Source organism: Homo sapiens, chromosome 1, assembly GCF_000001405.40.
Source record: "Homo sapiens chromosome 1, GRCh38.p14 Primary Assembly".
In the NCBI taxonomy this organism is placed as follows: Eukaryota; Metazoa; Chordata; class Mammalia; order Primates; family Hominidae; genus Homo; species Homo sapiens.
The window spans coordinates 176,163,811-176,186,734 of NC_000001.11; the positions used below are offsets into that span (position 1 = coordinate 176,163,811).

Here is a 22,924-nt window from a genome sequence, read left to right on the forward strand (position 1 = left end):
ATACGGTGCTACTCACTGAGTGGTCCAATTTGAACCTCTTTTCCTCAAATCTTTGCTTCTGTTTAAGAATGAGTTCATTCACTGAAAACAGAAACAAAATAAAAAGCACACATAATTTGTATTTTTGTTAAATGTATCATGTAATTCTTCGGTTTAGATAGATTCTATTTTACCTATACATAGCCTCCAAATTCAAAACATGCTAAACAGAAAGTGTTAGCTTTTTATTTTATTTCAAGTTAGAAAACAGTTTTGCTGCAGCTGCTACTACTACAACTACTATTACTATAGGAGAATTCTTCAGAATATGTATTTTCCCTTACATGTTTCTCAATGATGACGCTATTGGCACTTGCTGAGAGAGAAATCCTCATTCACCATGTGAGACCATCACATGCCCCATATGGTAACAAGGCATGAGTAACTGAGTATCTACTATGAGTTAAGTACTAAAGACTTGCATTTGTTCTTTTTCTTTGTAATTCTTCTAAAAATACCATGGAAGACACTTTTAGCTAACTATCCAAAAACCATCCTACTCTTTTTCTTGATAATAACATGACTTTTTTCCAAGTGTCAGACTGCCATATAACTTTCAGAGAGGTTAGATTCCACCCCAACCCCATGTATTACTTTGACTAACCTAAGGCAATCTAGTCATTCATGCCCTTGCCAGTGGTTGATGTGGGGTTAAGTACGTAACCCAATTTTGACCAAAGAGAGATGTGCTATCTTTCAGAAAGGAAAGGATAGGAGAAAAAAACCATGCCTTCATAAGGGGATGATATCTGGAACTGCTTAGAGCCATCTTGCAACCTCAAGAATAGCCAGCCAAAAGACCAAGGTATATGCTGGCAATGGAAGAAAAGAACAAGAGAAAGAACCTGACAATACCACTGAACCACTGATAACTAGTTCTAGAAATTCTTTTCCCGTGAATCGATACATTTTCCATAATGTTTAACCACTTTAAATTGGATCTTTCTATTTTTCTACAACCAACAAATATAAACTGACACAAAAAACTGATTTTTTTTTTAAAAAGGGAAACTACCACTAGGCTAGGAAGGCACTTTATAGACAATATCTTACAGATTATTTTCCCCAATTAGAGATGAAGAAGTATTAGCACAGAGAGCATAAGTAACTTATGCATGGTGACATATACAATGAGACAATGCTGAGAATATAGACCCAACTGTCTGATACTTCCCAGTATATCACAATGCAAGTATAAATATTTTTGAAAACAACAAACAGATACCAAGCTCATAAGGATCCAAGCTTCAAAGACACAATCCAAGGTCTCAAGCAACTCAGACTAGCAAGACAGATGCATATGATACAGTACTTGTAATATAATGTGATAATCAGTACTATCATTAAAATAGATTTACAAAGTATACACGCAGAGATCAATCAAAATGTTAACAAGCACACTTCATATAGAAGGCAACATTAGAAATGGGCCATAATAGGCACACAGGGGCTCACTAAGCAAAAATAAAAGTGAAGAAAAATTCAGGTGAGAGAGAGAGAGAGATGTGTGTCGTGTGTGTGTGTGTGTGTGTGTGTGTGTGTGTGTGTGTGTGTGTGTAGGAGATACAACGATTTAAAATCAATATAGTCATCCCAGCACTTTGGGAGGCCAAGGTGGGTGGATCACCTGAGGTCAGGAGTTCGAGACCAGCCTGGCCAACATGGCAAAACCCTGCCTCTACTAAAAATAGAAAAATTAGCCTGACATGGTGGCACGTGCCTGTAGTCTCAGCTACTCGGGAGGCTTAGGAAGGAGAATCACTTGAACCCAGGAGGTAGTGAGCCAAGATCGTGTCACTGCACTGCAGCCTAGGAGATAGAGCTAGACTCCATCTCAAAATAAATAAATAAATAAACAAGTAAGTAAGTAAAATCAATATAGCTAAAACAAGGGTCAGAGTGATCTTGTGAATGATTCACAGGGATTAAGAACTAAGCCTGGAAATGTAGGCAGATCAGAGCCAGATTGTGAAGGGCCTGAACTGCAGATACCTTACACAAGAAAAGTGATTATAATCCAGATAAAGGAGAGAGCATGAAATAATTCAGTGGGAATAAAGAGGAGTAAGTCAGTAAGAGGTCAGTGTCACAGTTATGAATTTAACCATTTGAAGAAAAATAGTGACTGTTAAATACTTTACATGAATATGCCGCATTGAATTTTACCACAAAATCTTATATACCATTATATTTGATTCTCAATAACAATACTGTAAGATCAAACATTTTTTTCAAGAGCAACTCTATTAACTAAAGATCAAGCCTGTATTTATTTATTTTATTTATTTATTTATTGAGACAGGGTGTGACTCTGTCACGCAGGATGGAGTGCAGTGGCGTGATCTTGGCTCCCTGCAACCTCCGCCTCCCAGGCTCAAGCCATCCTCCCATCTCAGCCTTCCCAGTAGCTAGGACTACAGGTGCACACCACTCCACCCAGCAAATTTTTGAATCTTTTATAGAGACAGGGTTTCACCATGTTGCCCAGGCTGATCTTGAACTCTTGGCCTCGAGTGATCCGTCTACCTTGGCCTCCCAAGTGCTGGATTACAGGCATGAGACACCATGCCCAGCCAAGGTAGATCAAGCCTGTAAAGGCCACAAAATTAAATTACAAAATAAAGTTACAGCAAATGATGGCAAAAATAAAGTGTAAACAAACAATGTATTAACTGTCTTGCCATGTCATATAAAGACATTTAAATTCTACATTTACCAAACGAAGTTTTTTACTACTGTATCAGATTTTTCATGGAGTTACTTGAAAAAATGGTTATTTTTTTCTTCTTGAAAAACGATATCCTAGGCTGGGCACAGTGGCTCATGCCTATAATCCCATTATTTAGGGAGGCTGAGGCAGGCAAACAGCTTGAGCCAGGAGCTGGAGACCAGCTTGGGTAACATAGCAAAACCCCGTCTCCACAAAAAAATACAAAACTTTCCCAGGTGTGGTGGTACATGCCTGAATTCCCCGCTACTCAGGAGGCCTAGGTGGTAGGACTGCCTGAGCTCAGGAGTTCGAGGCTGCAGTGAACCATGGTCACGCCACTGTACTCCAGCCTGCATGACAGAGAGAGACGCTGTCTCAAAAAAATAAAAATTTTTAAAAAACTATATCCTACAACAAACAATGGTTACCTATGGAAAATAAAAGAAGTTATTTTATTTAGTACACTCAGCTTAAGTGTTTCCTCATCAAGGGGTATTTTATTATTTTTGTACTTCAAAAATTTAACAGAAGAAAATCTCTTAAAATGCAAGGTATATACACTGGACTCAACATTCAAATGTCTATATATGTATATATGAAAGTCATTAGAGTCACACACTTAGTGGGAAAACCCTTTCAAAACTATGTCACAGCTTACAAACAAGAATAGCAAAATGGTGAATTCCATTCCATAACTTTGAAAACTTATTTTAAAAGCAATGCTTACCTATTAGCAGAAGACATCAGCTAGCATCTTATTTATACTATAGATTAAAGCATTTAATGATCAGTGTCTGTCTTGTCCACCATCGTGGTCCCTGACGCATAGTAGGCGCCTGGTATTTGCTGAATGAATGAATGAATGAATGAATGAATGAATGAATGAAATCTTGATGACATGCTCCTGGATTTTAAGTGTGACATGCCACGTTTAGCTAACACTTTCACATTTCCAATTAAGATAAGCCTTAATTTGAAACCATCACCAATTCTTAGAATTGATACCTAAACCTAAGGATGTTATACATTTGTTAATTATAATTCTACAGAGCCTTACAACATCCACAGTACTAAGAACAAACATTTCTTAGTACAAAAAAAAATGCATTTTAATGCTAAAGACTCCATTCAAGCAACGGTCTTTTTAGAGGCAGAACAGTACAGTAAAAGCACAGATGCTTGAGCCAAATTGCCTAAGACCAAATTCTAATTTCACCACTTTGGCTGTATAACTTGACACAAGTTACTCAACCTGTCTATGCCTTAGTTTCCTCACCTAAGGAATGAGGATGATAAAATCAGTACCCATCTCACAAGCCTGCCATAAGGATTGACTTCATGTACATACAGGATTGAAAACAGTGACTGACAGTAGTAAGGACTTTTATATGCATCAGCCATTTTTTTTTTAAACAGGGATTTTACACGTTGCAAGCATACTGTATTTTTTATTAGTGGTTAAGAGGATTATTCATTAGAGAGGTAAGAAAATTCAATTTACGATTTTTTTTTTTTTGAAACAGAGTCTCGCCCTGTCGCCCAGGCTGGAGTGCAATGGTGCGATCTCGGCTCACCGCAACCTCCGCCTCCTGGGTTCAAGCAATTCTCCTGCCTCAGCCTCCCGAGTAGCTGGGATTACCGGTGCGCACCACCACACTTGGCTAATTTTTTGTATCTTTAGTAGTGACAGGATTTCACCATGTTGGCCAGGCTGGTCTAGAACTCCTGACCTCGTGATCCGCCCGTGTCAGACTCTCAAAGTGCTGGGATTACAGGCGTGAGCCACCACCCCTGACCTACAAATTTTATATATAGAGAGAAAGGTAGAGAAAAAGACAGCTGGGTGGGTGGGGGGAGTACGGGGGAAAGGAAGGAAGGAAGAAAGGGAAGAAGGAAGCGAGGGAGGGAGGAAGGGAGGAAGGCAGGAAGGGAGGGAAGAAGGAAGGGAGGGAGGGAGGGAGGGAGGGGAAAAAAGCAAGCAAGCAAGCAGGCAAGCAAGGGAGCTTAGAAAGCAAGCTTTGGCAGGAGTGGAGTACACCTGCAGAGTATATAGGGAGTGGTAATGGGGAGGGGTGGTAATGGAGGGTCGGACTTCCAGCCCTTACCTGAATCAGCCTTTCAGGATCAGGAGAGGGAAAGAGAGCATTCAAAACCAAGGGAGGCAGAGAGGAGCAGACAGAGTATGCACACTGGAGGGAAGTAAGGGAGAAACAGAAGAGAATGAGAGAAAATGCTGTGGAAGGTAGAGAAAGATGCAGGGAAGGGAAGTCAGGAGGAAGAGGGGCTATAGTGTAGTGCTTACAGCAGGAAAGAAAGAAAATCATATTATCTATCTCAATGAAAATGTATATGACTCTAATGACCAAGAAACCAAATCCATCTTGAGTTATTTGGTTTCCAACTCTTTCTTTTCATCAAAATTGAAAAAAATGCCTGACTTGTTAATAGGGCATCTAAAATTTTTTGTGTGACAATAAATCAGTAAGTGCTTCTTTAGCACAAAATTCAAAAGGAAGGCAAAGAAATGAGTCATGTTGCTGTAAAAACGCCTTCAAGTCCCATCAACTTAATTAATATAAACAAGGTTTCTCAAGACTCACACATTTAAAAATAAAAATTACACAAAGGAAATGGAATCCTCGTCATAGTAATATTCATCAATGCCACTTAAACTACTTGGGGAGAAGGATACCACACACCTTGGTAAACGGTACATTCACTATAGAATTTTATGTCTAAGACTTCATAAAATTATGTGTAATATTTATTTGTTTGATCAATTGTATACTACTACTAATTAAATAACAACATAGGAAACATATTTAAGACTTCTTAATGCTTAAGAGGAAATTAAGTTCAAAAAAAACTTTTAAGTGTGTAATTTCTATATACAAAGCGTACCTTGGAGAAATCGCAGGTTCGGTTCTAGGCCCCACAATAAAGCAAGTCACATGAATTTTGGTTTCCCAATATACATAAAAGTTCTGTTTACGCTATACCGTAGTTTAAGTATTATGTCTTTAAAAAAAGTATTAATATATACGTTTATTAAAAAATACTTTATTGCTAAAAAATGCTAATGACCATCTGAGCCTTTGGCAAGTCATAATCTTTTTGCTGGTAGAGAGTCTTGCCTCCATGTTGACGGCTGCTGACTGATCAGGGTGGTAGTCACTGAAGTCTAGGCTGGCTGTGGCAATTTCTTAAAAGAACACAATGACGAAGACTGCTGCATCAACTGATTCTTCCTTTCACAAAAAATTTCTCTATAGCCTGCAATGTTACATGATAGCATCTTTCTCACAGTAGAATTTCTTTCAAAGTTAGTCAACCTCTGAAGCCCTCTTGCTGCTTTATCAACTAAGTTTATGTAATATTCTAAATTCTTTGATGTCATTTCAACAATGTTCACAGCATCTTCACTAGGAGTAGATTTCATCTCAAGAAACCACTTTCTTTGTTCATCCATAAGAAACAATTCCTCATCTGTTTAAGTTTTATCAGGATAGTACAGGAAAATTCAGTCACATCTTCAGGCTCCATTTCTAATTCTAGCTCTCTGGCTACTTCCTCCACATATGCAGTTACTCCCTCTACTGAAGTCTTGAACCCTTCAAAGTCATCCATGACGGCTGGAATCAACTTCCACCAAACTCCTTTTAATGTTGATATTTTGACCTCCTCCCATGAAACATGAGTGTTCTTAATGGCATCTAGAATGGTGAATCCTTTCCAAAAGGTTTTCCATTTACTTTGCCCAGATCTCAGAGGACTCATTATCACTATGGCAGTTATTATGAAATGTGTTTCTTCAATAATAAGACCTGAAAGTCAAAATTACTCCTTGATTTATGGGCTACAGAATGGATATTGTGTTAGCAGTATGAAAACAACCTTACTCTCCTTTGTACATCTGTATCAGAGCTCTTGGGTGACCAGGTGCATTGTCAATGAGCAGTAGTATTTTGAAAGGAATCTTTTTTTCTAAGCAGTAGGTCTCAACAGTGGTCTTACGATATTCAGTAAATCACGCTGAAAAGAGATATGCTGTCTTCAGGCTTTGTTGTTCTATTTGCAGAGCACAGACACGGTAGATTTAGCATAATTCTTAAGGGCTCTAGGATTTTCAAAATGGTAAATGAGCAGTGGCACTTAAAGTCACCAGCTGCATCAACCCCTATCAAGAGAGTCAGCCTGTCCTTGGAAGCTTTGAAGGCAGGCACTGACTTCCCTCTCCAGCAATTAAAGTCCTAGATGGCATCTTCTTCCAAAAGAAGTCTGTTAGGCAAGGCGTGATAGCTCACGCCTGTAATCCCAGCACTTTGGGAGGCCGAGACTGGTGGATCACGAGGTCAGGAGATCAAGACCATCCTGGCTAACACAGTGAAACCCCATCTCTACTAAAAATACAAAAAATTAGCCGGGCTTGGTGGTGGGCGCCTGTAATCCCAGCTACTCAGGAGGCTGAGGCAGGAGAATGGCATGATCCCAGCAGGTGGAGCTTGCAGGGAGCCGAGATCACACCACTGCACTCCAGCCTGGGCAACAGAGCGAGACTCCATCTCAAAAAAAAAAAAAAAAAAAAAAAAGTAGGCTGTTATATCTACACTGAAAATCTGTCATTTACTATAGCCACCTTCAACAATGATTTTTACCTAGATCTTCTGGATAATTTGCTACAGCTTCTACATCAGCACTTGCTGCTTCACCTTGTACTTCTATGTTATGGAGATGGCTGTTTTCCTTAAATCTCTTGAACCAACGTCTGTTAGCTTCAAACTTTTCTTCTGCAGCTTCCTCACCTCTCTGAGCCTTCACAGAATTTAGGAGAGTTAGGGTCTTGTTCTGGATAAGACTTTGGCTTAAGGGAATGTTGTGGCTGGTATATATCCAGACTACTAAACTTTCTCCATATCAGCAATAAGCGATTTTGCCTTCTTATCATTCGTGTCTTCACTGGAGTAGCACTTTTAATTTCGTTCAAGAACTTTTCCTTTGCATTCACACCTTGGCTAAAAGATCTCAGTGACATTCTTCTGAGCACACAGAGATATGAAGTGAGCACATGGTAGTGGAAAAGTGGCATCAAGAGACTTAATGCAGGGTTGCCACAAACTTTCAATTTGTTAAAAAAAATGCAACTTCTATAAAGTGCAATAAAGCAAAGTACAATAAAAGTATGCCTGTATATACAATTTTGTTACAGAAAAGTACTACAGGCAGATTAGTCAGAATTTCAAGCACGGAAATAGATTATAAGGATAAAACTATGTGTGTGATATGAAGTTTAAGTAGAAGTTCACAAAAAAAGGTAATGAATGAAATTTCTGGTATTGAATAAAAAGCTTACTTATATATTTTTAAATCAATATTTAAGTAACAAATCACTATGACATTTAGATTCCACCGGTTACATTTTAAAAAGTGATAAAACAGTTCTGAAGTAATCATTTTTATAATACTCTAGAATTTACTCTCTTTTTTAAAACTTTATTTAATTATTTTTGAGACAGAGTCTCTGCTTTGTTGCCCAGGCTGGAGTGGAATGGTACAATCATAGCTCACTGCAGCTTCAAAATCCTCAGGCTCACATGATCCTCTCACCTCAGCCTCCCAAGAAGCTAGGACAACAGCTGCATACCAACACGCCTGGCTAATTTTTTATAGAGACAAGGTCTCGCTATATTGCGCAGACTGGTCGCAAACTCATGGCCTCGAATAAGCCTCCTGCCTCAGCCTTCCAAAGTGTTAGGATTATAGGTTTGAGCCACTGCACCTGGCCAAAATTGTATTCTTTACAATCACTTAAAGTTATGACGAAAAAATTTTAATGCAAACTTAAAAATATGCACGGATCATCACTTTTCAAAATTTTCATATGAGTTATACAAGCAAAAAGCTTTAAAGAGTACTGCTGTAGAAATTGTGTGGACCAGTCCTCTACCTATGACTAGGCATTGGAAGTGTAAGGTCTTAACCTATCAATTAAGTAGGTGCAAGGATGCCAAGAACATCTCAGAATCATATAACATATGCTCCATTACTTTACCAGGCTAAGAGGAAATCTGAAATCATTTTAAAAGGCTCTAGGTCTTCTTAACCCAACTAAGAACTGCAGGCATTATGCAAATCATGCCGTCTTAAGCTGAAGCAATGAAAATAACTTAGAAAACATTTTTTAGTATAGAAAAAAACAAGTGATATTCCACTTTCAGGAACACATGGATCGACATATCTCAATGACATTACTCTGAGCCAACAGGAGACAGTCTCTACACACCTAGTGTAAGACCTTAGGATTTGGCTATCACTGAACAAAGGACATGGCTAGAAGAGGTAATCAGCAGAAAAACACAAATAGATGTATCAGGATGAAATGTTATTTCCACAGTTGACAACAATATAATCCCACTGAAAGCTGCACTAGAGATCACCGTCAAGATAACTTCTAGCTTAAAAAATCAGTAATTGGGCCAGGGGCGGTGGCTCACACCTGTAATCCCAGTACTTCGGGAGGCCGAGGTGGGTGATCACGAGGTCAGGAGTTTGAGACCAGTCTGGCCAACATAGTGAAACCCTGTCTCTACTAAAAATACAAAAAATTAGCAGGGTGTGGTAGTGTGCACCTATAATCCCAGCTACTAGGGAGGCTGAGGCAGGAGAATCATGTGAGCCCAGGAGGTGGAGGTTGCAGTGAGTCAAGATCATGCCATTGCACTCCAGCCTGGGTGACAGTGCGAGACTTTGTCTCAAAAAAACAAAATGAAAAAAAAAAAAAAAAAAAACCAGTAATTGGCCAGGCACAATGGCTCACATCTGTAATCCCGACACTTTAAGAAGCTGAGGCAGGAGGATCACTGGAGCCCAGGAGTTTGAGACCGGCCTGGAAAACATAGTGAGACCTTGTCTCTACAAAAACAAACAAACAAAAATAGCCAGGTATGGTGGCGCATGTCTGTAGCCCCAGCTACTTGGGAGGCTGAGGTGGGAAGATCACCTGAACCAGGGAGATCAAGGCTGCAGTGAGCCATGATCGCACTACTGCACTCCAGCGGGTAACAGAGTGGGGCGCTGTCTCAAAAAAAAAAAAAAATCAGTAAATGTGACTTCACTGTTCATTAGATACATATATTTGAGAATATCTAAGGCCAGGCGCAATGACTCACACCTGTAGTCCCAGCACTTTGGGAGGCTGAGGCGGGAGGATCGCTTGAGTCCAGGAGTTCGAGACCAGCCTATCCAACATGGTGAAACCCCGTCTCTACTAAAAACACAAAAATTAGCCGGGTACAGTGGCGCACGTCTGTGATTCCAGCAACCAGAGAGACTGCGGCAGGAGAATCCTTGAACCTGGGAGGCGGAGGCTGCAGTGAGCCGAGATCGTGCCACTGCACTCTAGCCTGGGCAACAGAGTGAGATGCTGTCTCAAAAAAAAAAAAAAAAAAAAAAGAGAATATATATAATGTAGGGGATCACTTTCCAGCTTAAGTGGCAGTATATTTTTATATTCCTTCCATACTCATATATAACTCTCTCTCACTATTTAGAAACTCACAAAACAGAATTTCAAACTTGTGAACTAAGGAATGTTGCCTGAAAAATCTAGTAAACACCAAAATCTTCAGAACATCACATTCCTTTATATATTTAACCACTCCAAAAGAGTAAGTAGTTTTCCAAAGTTATGACTACAGAAAAAGCATAGTCATCTTTAGTGATCCTAGATTCCACAGGGCAGCATCAATCCAAATTTACAAGCACAGGGACAAAGGATTTTGCCCTACAGGATGTGGTTTCCCTATTATCTAAACTAGGCCATCAAGTATCATCCTGCAAGGTACCATGCCACTCAATATTTCTCTTTGTTCTTTTCCTAAGTTCCTTCTCCAAGTTTGCCATAAAACTTTAGCCACTTAGAAGAATTTGTCATTCTAGCAGAAAATCTTCAATTCCTTTAAGCACCCCTTTCTGCTATGTAATCCTCCAGCGATTTTCCTTCATAAAAAAAAAATTACAGTGAAGAGTAACAGAGAAAAAACTATTGTAGCTAAGGCACTTTTAGAGCAGATAAAAAGGAAAACCATAGCTGAATACGTTCAAATTCATAATTTATTTTAAACAACAATTTGAGCTAAAAATCAAACTGCCACCAAAGTACTAGCAGGTCAGAATCTAATACAAAAGTAGTCACCACACCCTAACTCTGAGCATATTAGTCTTTAAAATGCAGAATTGACCTTTTTGATATATAATCCCAAGAGTGCCCTACTTCATGCCTACTCATACCTGAAAATTATTCTTTAGCTTATTATTCATTCCCAAAACATTCAGATTAAAGGTTTCCTAAAATATCTTAGGGTAGTTAACATGCAGAATTTTTCTGATATTCACAGTTGGTTCTGACTAGTTATTATTTCCGATCATTTATCATTTATACTTAAGGATTCCCTATTCATGTCTCTCTTCTCTAGTTCTTACCACTCCTCTCTCAAAAGTTCTCCTCCATGTATTCCTTCCCAAGTTCTTAATTTTTAATTGCCTCCCTAGTTCAGATTCTCTTCACCCATTCACTCCCAACTCAGCAAGCATCACACCCAAGTTTTTTTGTCCCCTTGCCCTCAATATTCAACAAACCTGAGTTCCCGAGACCCATGGACTCTTTCTCACTTCTGCCGCAAAAGCAGAAACAGTAGGGATGTATAACACTTCACAGGGATACCTAAAGGTGTTCAGAACTGCTGCCATTTTTGTTAAACCTCACATCCAGTCTGTCATCTACATCAGCAGTCCCCAACCTTTTTGGGACCAGGGACTGGTTTCATAGAGAACAATTCTTCCAGACTGAAGGGAGGTGGAAGGGATGGTTTCAGGATGAAACTGTTCCACCTCAGATTATCAGGCATCAGATTCTCATAAGGAGCGTGCAACTTAGATCCCTTGCATGTGCAGTTCACAATCAGGTTCATACTCCTCTGAGAATCTAATGCCACCCACTGATCTGACAGGAGACAGAGCACAGGCAGTAGTGCTCGCTCACCTGCCAGCCCCTCACCTCCTGCTGTGCAGCCCAGTTCCTAATAGGCCACAGACTGGTACCAGTCCATGGCCCAGGGGTCCCTGATATACACAATAATCTAAAAGTTTTATGAATTTTTTAATAAAACTTAAAAATAATAAAATACTAACAATGTATAGAATCTATGTCACAACCCAAGAAGAGGAAAGCACTGTGGTATACAGTAGAGAGAGACTTGCTTACCACTAAGGTAGGTTTTCTGAATAAATTAGCGCTAGCACACAATTTTGGGGATCGAAATATTTTTAAAATAAAAATCATTCCAAAGACTCACCCAAGAAATTAGGATACAGATGGTCAATATTGTCCACAACATAGTTACACTTGGGACATCTATTATTGTCCTCCAAACTCTGATGAATACACTTGTAGCTATTAGTAGGGGGGGAAAAAAAAGGCTTAATTAAATCAATGAAAAATTAATAAACTGGTCACAAAATAATGACTATTAGTCTTCTATTCCTCATTTTCAACATAACTAATCTAATAAATTTATTTTTGCTTATATTTTTACATTATCAACAGGATATACAGGGCACTTACTGGGTAAACACTACACAAAAGTTATTTCAAACCAAACTCAAACATCAAGGACACTGTATACAAATTTAACAAGCTGTACTCCCTAAATTTTAAGTTTATGCAATTTAGATAGTTCATAACAACACCAGAAAAGCTAATGCCTACAGCTCAGTTAAGCAAACAGACTATTCATATTATTGGCCTGCGAATACCCTTAATACTCAGTTCATTGAAATAAAAAAGAGAAACAGAAAACTCAACGAAAGACAAAAATTAGTCAATAAACATGAGAAAACCATCATCTTCACGAGTCACAAAAAGCTGATTTAAAATTATATACTAGATTTTACCAATTAGGATGGAAAAATAAAATACTGCCAGTAAGGCACAACGGCTCATGCCTGTAATCCCAACACTTTAGGAGGCAGAGGCAGGAAGATCACTTGAGGCCAAGAGTTCAAGACCAGCCTGGGGAACATAGCAAGACTCCATTACTACAGAAAATGAAAAAATTAGCCAGGCATGATAGCATATGCAGCTACTGGGAGGGTGAGGCAGGAGGATCACCTGAGCCCAGGAGTTCAGGGCTACAGTGAGCCATGATTATGCCAGTGCACTCCAGCCTGAGTGACGGAATGAGACCCTGTCTGAAAAAAAGAGAAAAAAAAGACAAAAGAAAATAATGTCATAGTTAAAGAGTATATGTGGATATGAACAATCTCAACTACTGTTACAGAAAATGTTAACCAGCACAACTTTCCTAGAAGGCAAGTTGCAGGAAAAACCTTAAGGTTTTTACATACCCTTTTGAATATTTTACTTCTAGGAATTTATCCTAAGGAAATATATATTTAGAAGGGTGTTTAATACAAGGTTATCTGTAAATAGCAAAATAAAACAGAAGCAACCTAAACACTAAGAAATTGACTAAATAAATTTGTAAACATCAATCCAATGCAATGCTATACAGCCATCCAATACAAATTATTGTAATTTGTATGCCATAAAAATAAACTACTCATAGTTATTGCTAGAGAACTGTGATTACAGAAAATTTTCCCTTTCTTACATTATATATTTCTATAATGTTAAACCTTTTACATTTGTGTGCCTCCCTATTAAAAAAAACACTCCTTAAGTATTTTTCACCAAATCATGGAAAAGTGTCAAACTGGTATGAGAAAAAAATATTAAAAAAAAAAAAGAAAAAAGAAAAAAATGTTATTATACATACTGCTGAATAAAAATGACAATCTATAACACAGTGGATATAATATAATCCCACTTCTCTTAAAAAATCATATATGTGTACATTTAAAATAAACCACAAAAGACAATCCCCACAATGTTAACAGTATTTGTTTCTGGGTCATATAATTATGGGAAATGTTTTCTTTGTAGATGTCTTTAATTCAGGTTTCTATAATAGTAAGTATTACTGGTAACACTCAGGAAAAAAATGATTTCTAAGAAATTACAAAGGTGATCTGTAAAAATCATTCCCACAGAGAAAGTACCTCTTTTATTACGTATCCAAATTACTATAAATTTACTTGAGCTTTGTAAACTGAGTTGATTTTTATATCCACTTACCTTCCCCCTCCACCTTAACAAAATACAAAATAAAACAAACAAAAAAATAAAAACCTACATTCCCCAGGTTTCGCCCTTCTGGTTATCAACTACTTTCACATCTCACATTTGTTACTTTCAAGATAAGTAAAAAGGAGGAAGGTGTGAAGAATCAAAGTAACAGTGGTCTTTGGCAAATCACAGGGACCTAAAGACTGAAGTAAATGCCAGGCACATAACGGATATGCAAATATCTACTGAAAAATGACCTGCACAATGTTCCAAAAACAGTATCATCACCTCTTGCAACTCTGACAAGGCTAGGATTACCATAATCACAAAATATGCTTCATGTATGACTGAAAATTTCCTACATGGAAATTTCACTGAAGGAAATAACATACTAAATCTTTATTTTCATTTTTATTACAAGGAAGAAGCATAACGTAGGCAAGCAAATACAATAGACTAAGAATCACAACATGAAGAAATTTACAGTCTGCTTAGGGAAAAAGGAAATGAGTTAACATTACCAGGAAATATACATACAAAATTTAACTCTTTTTTTAAATCAGCAGCCTGGGCAACATGGCAAAACTCTGTCTCTACAAAAAAAAAAAAATAATAATAATAAATGCAAAAATTAGCTGGGCCTGGTTCTGCATGGCTTATGGTTGTAGCTAATCAGGAGGCTGAGGTTGCAGTGGGCAGAGATTGCATCACTACACTCCAGCCTGAGGGACACAGCGAGACTCTGTCTCAAAAAAACAAAAAATCAGCAAGTTCAAACAAAGCAAGTCATAAAGGAGAGACTCTGAAAGGTTATTAAAGATAAGAGATGGCCGGGAGCAGTGGCTCACACCTGTAATTCCAGCACTATGGGAGGCCAAGGCCGGCAGATCACCTGAGGTCAGGAGTTCGAGACCAGCCTGCCCAACATGGCAAAACCCCGTCTCTACTAAACATACAAAAAATTAGCTGGGCATGGTGGCAGGCACCTGTAATTCCGGCTACTCGGGAGGCTGAGGCAGGAGAATCGCTTGAACCCGGGAGGTGGAGCTTGCAGTGAACCAAGATCACACCACTGCACTCCAGCCTGGGCAACAAGAGCAAAACTCCGTCCCCACCCCACTCCATCCCAAAAAAAGGTAAGAGACATGCCGGGCTGGGTATATCTGCTAATGCCAGTCATCCTAGCACTTTGGCAGGCCAAGGTGGGCAGATCACTTGAGGTCAGGAGAATTTTTTTTTTTTAGTTTTTTTTTTTAAAAAAAGACAAGGCCGGGTGCAGCGGCTCACGCCGTAATCCCAGCACTTTGGGAGGCCACGGTGGGTGGATCACTTGAGGTCATGAGTTTGAGACCAGCCTGGGCAACATGGTGAAACCCCCATCTCTACTAAAAATACAAGAATTAGCGGGCATATTGGTGCACACCTATAGTCCTAGCTACTCAGTAGGCCGAGGCAGGAAAATTGCTTGACCCTGGGGGGCAGAGGTTGCAGTGAGCCAAGATCACGCCATTGCACTCCAGCCTGGGCGACAAAGTGAGACTCCGTCTCAAAAAAAAAAAAAATTACATAATAAAGATAAGAGATGGGTTGACAGATAAGTAGAAGGAGAACATTATGGGTTTTAGCAAATAACTTTTCTTTAAAATAAATGATAGAAAATGTGCATATGACAAGAACAAGCTAGGCTGTTAAGTCAGAGAGGAGTTTGTTAGGCTGGGTGCAGTGGCTCGTGCCTGTAATCTCAGCAATTTGCGAGGGCGAGGCAGGAGGATTGCCTGAGCCCAGGAGTTTCAACCAGCTCAGGCAATGTGGTGAAACCCCAACTCTAAAAAAATTTTAAAAATTAGCCATGCATGGTGGCAGTCTGTCCCTGTGATCCTAGCTACTCAGGAGGCTGAAGCAGGAGGATTGCTTGAGCCCAGGAGATCGAGGGTGCAGTGAGCCATGTTTGCACCACTGCACTCCAGCCTGGTGAGAGAGTGACACCCAGTCTCAAAAACAGAAAAAAAATTTTTTGTCAATATACAAGAAATTATTCCAAAATCTAGTAGAAAATCCTCTTTTCTTTAGTATCCTAATCTTATTCCACATCAATAGGCTTACTACACTATCTCTCAGACAAAAAAAAAAAAAATGGGACATAGCTGGAAGTAACTGTCCTCACTAACACTAGTTCAAGTGATTTTTCTGCATTGCACTTGATAAAATCCATTATATTGTAAAATCAAAGTATATCAAATTACATACCACTGTATACAACTTAAGTGACAACAGGATGCATCGAGCGTATCTTAGAGCATCTACTACTTCACTACCACCCCAAAAGAGACCTGCCTTAGTTTGAGAAATAGTTACTATCTTATCTTGTACTTATTTCTGTATGTGCCAATCAGCCCTTCTTCTATTTGGTCATTAAATGCAAGGATTTGTTTTACCCTCTGTACCCTTAATGTTTAGCACAATATCCTGTTAAAAGAATTCAAACTCAGTAAATGTTGAATGCATGAATGAGTAGATACAGCCAGGAAAGCAACATACGCCTGTCTGCTGCCTTCTGGATCATATAAAACAAACTACAAATTTTCAGTATTTCTTACCCCAGTAACTCTAATTCATTCTCATTCATCTAATCTACTTGACCATTACCAGCCTGCATACAAAGCTTTGGATACTAAGAGAAGGATAAGTATCTAGATTAGTGCTCAACAACAGGTGGGCATAACAAAGAGGTAAAAGGGACACATATCTCGGGTCCACCTGAGAAATTTTCAAGCTACTCACACTGCAACTCTTAAAAATAATTATTTTAATTCTGCTGATATAAATGTGTACCTATTTCCTCTATTAAATATGTATCTGCTAATAAAAAATGTGTATTTCTCTATAGATGTATATGGTTGTTTCTTCTACTATGTATATACTTGCTAACAAATATAAATATCTTTTTATATCTATGTAAACAAGGATGAGTAGATATAAACAACTGTAAGTAATCAGAAAATTCTAGAAAAAAGAATAAACTATAACAAGAACAGCCAGGACAAATCAGAACCAGTCATTACATCTAATAACCAGGTGTAAAGAAAGACCAAAAGTATGGTGCAAGATGATGGATTAGCCAAGAGTCTCAAAAGGCAATTTGACACTCAGGCTTGATCACCCACATGCTGGGAGATGACGATGCTGAAGGACCCCATTAATTGTAACTAACTTGTAATGAAGCGAAATAGTAAATCAGGGCTTGGTAGACATACGGTACAGGGCACAAGCTGGAGGCAGCAAATGGGCAAAGACAAAGAGCCAATTTTATCTCTACGTTATGTAAAAGTCAGATTTCTTATTATATCATTGTATTTCAGTTAGGCTACAGATACAGGTAACAGTGGGTTCTCAAGTGGGAATAAATAAAGTGAAAGAAGTTCCTGCTATATTGTCTCCAAATTGTTACTAGGAAAGACATTTTCACTTGGGATGAGGGAAAAACAGCTGATGTGGTCCAATTTGATTTAGTGGTAATAATTTGGATGAGCTTTGAAGTGGTATACTGCTTGAATCCAGCTTACCAGCCAGAATTTACGTTACTAGAAAGTTGACACAAGAGGCTACGGTTAATGACTGAAGTTCCATAGCCCTCACATGTTAGGAAAGAGTAAATAATTATAAACTTTTGCTTTAAACAAAACTGCAAAAAAAAAAAAAATCAGTATAGCAAGCCTGATGTTGGAATTGACAGCCTCCAGTTTTAATAGTTCCTGCCAACATTATGGCCTCTATTCTACTAAAACCTGCTCTCCAGTGGGTATCTTAAAACACATTCTTGGCTGGGCGCAGTGGCTCACGCTTGTAATCCCAGCACTTTGGGAGGCCGAGGCGGGCGGATCACAAGGTCACGAGATCGAGACCATCCTGGCTAACATGGTGAACCCCGTCTCTACTAAAAGTACAAAAAATTAGCCGGGCGTGGTGGCACACGCCTGTAATCCCAGCTACTCGGGAGGCTGAGGCAGGAGAATCGCTGGAATATCCGGGAGGTGGAGGTTGCAGTGAGCGGAGATCGAGCCACTGCACTCCAGCCTGGTGACAGAGCGAGACTCCATCTCAAAAAAAAAAACCAAACAAATAAACAAAAAAACACACGTTCTCATCAGGGTATAACATAAAAATGAAATTGTATTATAATAAGGATCTAAGCCTAAATTGTTTTGAGAGCAGGAGGTAAAGCTATTTAAGAAAGCAATGGGGCTTTCCAACAATGACCTAAAGACAACATGAAGATTATAAATTTATTGAAAAGCCCTAGCCTGTCCATTTATAAGTTCAATCAGTAATTTATTCCACTTCACAACATAGTGAAAAAAGGTCACTGAACTGATGCAGGGCCTTTTTTAAAAAATGCCACAATGGATATGTAAGTTACAGGACACTCAAGAAAATTAAAAACCTCACTTCACAATCTATTTCGTATTTCAACACTTTTAAATCCATAAAAAGAGGAGGAATTGAAGGAGTAAAAAGAGAATGAGGAAGAAGAGGAACAGGACAGCAGCAGCAGAGAGTGAGTAACTTGACAAAGGTTAGGTAAGTTTCAGAACCAGAAGTAGAATCCTGGTCTAACAATATCAAGAACTTGTTCTTTTAGCGCTAGATGAGTACTTCTCAAGGGAGGAAAATTTTGTCCCCCAAGGGGTATCTGCAATGTCTAGAGACATTTTTGGTTGTCACAACCCCAGAGATGGGCAGGGGTGGTACTGGGTAGGGGTCAAGTATACTGCTAAACAATCTATAAAGCACAGTGCAGTCACCTACGACAAAGAATTATCTGGTCTAATATGTCAATAGTGACAAGGTTGAGAAAGCCTACTCTAGATCACCTAATTTTCCAGAATAATCATAATCCAAAATCTCTGAAAAAAACATATGGTTTCCTATGGAATGCTAAGATGCTAGGTCAATTTATGGACCAAAGAGAACACTACTGCCGAACAATGGCCTGAAAAGGCCAAGACCATACCTGTATCAGCCCTGAAGCAAGACCCACATGTCCAGAATGTCATTGGCAATACAGAGCAGAAAGTGATTCGTGAATCATAATAATGTCAATGATATACCAGAAAATAAAAAGTATTCAAGAAAGTAAAATGACTTAAAAAAATAGTAAAAGGATTCTGAAAGAATACCTAATCATTCCTTTTCCTCTGATAACCTCTGAGGAGGTAGGTAAGAAAAACTAGATAAAGGTGGACATTTGTATTTTATATTACATCTTCCTGTACAATGACTGGTTTTTAAAAGCAATAATATACATTGCTGTTATCATTTTAATACTTTATTTTATAAGAAAGAATATAGATAATACAAGCTAAGAAAGTGATTTTTATTTAAAGCTTTTTAAGTGACTAGCAGAGGGAATACACCTATCACTAAAGCATCATGCTCCAGATGAAACGAAAGATCTTACAGACTAGTGTTAATACCCCATACTCTTCATGATGAAGGGATATAAATCTGCCCGATATCATATCCAACTTCAGCATAAAATTACGGGCCTGATTTCAATATGAATTAGAATATAAGGAGTATTAGAACACAAGGTATACTAAGGCTAAAATAATATGCCAACAGAATAGGTTTAAAAATAAGCAAAAATAATTAAAAATACACAGATTACACATCCATCAGGATGGCTACTATCAAAAACCAACAACAGAAAATAAGAGTTGGCAAGGATGTGGAAAAATTGGAACTCTTATGCACTGTTGGTGAGAACATAAAATAGTGCAGCCCCTATAGAAAACAGTATGGCAGTTTCTCAAAAAATTACAAACAAAATTACCACATGATCCAGCAATTCCACTTCTGAGTATACACCCAAAAGACTTGAAAGCAGAGTCCTAAAGAGATGTTTGTACACCCATGTTCACAGCAGCATTATTCATAGCAGCCAAAAGGTAGAAGAAGCAACCCCAGTGTATACTGATAGATGAATAAACAAAATGTAGTATATATATACAATGGAGTATTATTCAGCCTTACAAAGCAAAGAAATTCTGACACATGCTACAACACTGAAGACATTATGCTAAGTGAAATAAGCGAGTCACAAAAAGACAAATACTTCTACTTATTCGAGGTATCTAGAATAGTTAAATTAATAGAAACAGAAAGTAGAATGGTGGCTGCCAGGGGATACAGGGAAGGGGAAATGGGGAATTGTTGTTTAATGAGTGACGAGTTTCAGTTTTGCACAAAAAGTTCTAGAGATCAATTGTACAATAATATGAACATACTTAACACTACTGCACTGTTTACATAACTGTGGTTAAAATTATAAATTCCTCCAAGACTAAAGAACCAGAAAAAAATATATAAAATATATAAATTCGGTATTATGTAAATTTTAAAATTAAAAAATTTTTTTGATGTATGAGTTAACCTGGCATGATATAATGTAAAGTTAATATTGAGCAAAGTGTTAAAGAAAAGAACACAGAACTTTTTAATCCTGTATTCTTTTTCCATGACCTTCTTAGCCTGCTTCACTGCGTTCTCCAACCTATCCCCACAAGTGAGTAATTAGTGCTTCATGGTTGGTCCTGATTGTCCAGCATCACTAAGAACAGGAGTGAAAAGTTCCTATTAACAATTAATAAACGCAGAAGTTTTCAAATCCATCAGTAAGGCCTATTCTAAATCTAAACATTTGACAGAAATTATGCGCCAGCCATTATGTTAACAGCCTTAAACTGCCACATCTACAAAGACATGTCAAGAAAAAAAATATGACTGTAACATAATCAAAGTTGGTTTAAAACACGTAACTTCTCATTGGCTACATTTACAGATAAGTTTTAAAATGTTAAAAGATTATTTTACTCAATAGAATTGTCTTACCAAAAGCTGTGGCCACATTTTGTCATGTATGCTTCTTCAATCATATCAAAGCAGATGGGGCTAAAAAGAAAAGAAAAATAATTGATTTTTTTTTAAAAGTAGAGTGATTACAAATTGGAAAAGACTAGTAACAATACCAATGAAATCATATTTCAATATACAGTTTAGAGCTAAGTCTATAAACATTCTATCAATAAGAGATGAAATTTCTATTGAACTAAACTTTAGGGGATTGTTGGTAAAATGATGATTTGTTCAGGATGACCCTAAGGGTCACTGAGCTTCAAAATGAAGTCAATGAGTAAATCAAAATGGTTCCAATATTTTAACTCGGCACATAATTTTTAGTAGTACAATGCAGTCACCAGAGCCCTTTTAAGAAAGCTCTACCATCGTTTTCCATCACATGTACTCAAAAGCGTGTACCGAGACCTGCTAAATACTCTTTTCTTCCTATCCCAAATAAAGCTAATTCCTTGAGTGATAAATTTATTATTCTAGTTTCGACAATGCTTGTAGGTAATGACAACAATCATAACAACTTATTAGCTATTTAAATAAAACAAACTATACACATTAAACCCACAATATATATTGACTCATTTAATAGTTTCAACAACAAAGTGAAATAGGTACCAACTACTAGGCACAGTTTATAGATGAGGGAACAGAAGCAGAGAGCTGTTAAAGTCACACAGCTAAGAAGTAACAAAGTCAAAATTCAAATTCAGGTCTACGTTCTTAACCACTTGTCCTACACTACTTTCTGGTACTTTAAATACCAATTGTAATCCTCTTCTGCCCTCTTTCCCTATAAAGAATAAAAAACAGAATACTCAAAATCCCAGCCTTTTTTGTACTTAGGATTGGCTATATGATATTATTCTGGCCAGTGAAATATAGACATCAGTTTCTAAGGGGCCACCATCTATGAGAACAAAAATGCAAAACCTTGTAAAAAGACATTTCCTTTTATCCTTCCCTTTTCTTCCTTACTAAAATTCTGATGCAGTGTTCAGAGATACAACAGCCATCTTCTGACCATGAAGACAAAAACCTTAAGCTAGGAAGAAAGGAGGATACTGGTTCCTGGATGAAATCCTTGAGCAGCTGCATCAGCTTTGGATTGTCTCCGCTGGACTTCACATTACATGAGAAGGTAAATCTTGACTTGCTTAAGTCAATGTTTATCAAGTTTTCTCTTATTTGCATACAAATCCAAATCCTTACGGATGATACAATGACACTTAAAACTGTAACTGAAAATACACTCACTCCTTCAAGAAAAATTTCTTGGGCATAAACACTATCCCTTAGAATACAGGAATGTAAAGTCTAATGGCAGACTCAAATATGTATAGATGATATTACAACACAATGTGAAAATATATACAATATATACAATAATGATAAATACATAATAATAAGAGGACACACCAGCTACAAAGGGACCCATAGTAAAGAAAACTGAGATTTGGGGGTCAGAGCAGGAGGAACGGCAAAAGAACCAACCAATCAATTCACTGAATATGTCAGGAGCTATTTAATAGAAAACAATACATACCTAATCGTTAGCATTTTGAGAAAGGGGTATTTTAGTGTTTGAGGATCCTTCAAGTATGTCACTGCTAAGACACAGAACACCTCTATGCAAATTTTTTAAAAAGGCACTCTCACAGCTTGAGCAATATACTGAGACCTCATCTCTACAAAAAAAAAATTAAAAAAAAAAACACAAAAACTAGCAAGCATAGGGGCACACACCTGCAGCCCCAGCTACTCTAGCTAGTCCCAGCTCCTCAAGAAGCTGAGGAAGAATGATCACTTGAGCACAGCAGGCGAAGCTGCAGTGAACAGAGACTGTGCCACTGCACTCCAGCCCAGGTGACAGAGCAAGACCCTATCTCAAAAAGAAAAGAGAAAAAAAAGGGCACCTCAAAGAACTAAGGAATGTGTTAAAGACTTCGGCTTTTAAGTTGAGTAAAACGGTAATTCACTGGTGGATTTGGAAAAGAGGAGTGATGGGATTTGACACAGTAATGAACCAGATCATTCTACCTGCTATGCTGAAAAGAAGACTAAAGGGAAGCCAAGTGTAGAAA

At 38.0% G+C, this 22,924-nt stretch overlaps 1 protein-coding gene across 29 annotated transcripts in view; it reads right to left on the reverse strand.

Annotated features, from left to right (window-relative positions):
* COP1 (COP1 E3 ubiquitin ligase) overlaps positions 1–22,924 on the reverse strand; it is a 262,456-nt gene that overhangs the window by 218,980 nt on the left and 20,552 nt on the right. For 12 of the 29 annotated variants that reach the window (XM_006711487.4, XM_047427780.1, XM_005245448.4 and 9 more), the window contains exons 2-4: positions 20,823–20,882; positions 12,100–12,197; positions 5–81 (exon numbers count right to left, since the gene is read on the reverse strand). In XM_006711487.4, coding sequence (XP_006711550.1) covers positions 5–81; positions 12,100–12,197; positions 20,823–20,882 — 235 coding nt within the window. Of the gene's footprint in view, positions 1–4; positions 82–12,099; positions 12,198–20,822; positions 20,883–22,924 lie in introns of those variants that run through there. The other 17 variants (XM_047427786.1, NM_001001740.4, XM_047427782.1 and 14 more) reach the window with 4 other exon arrangements.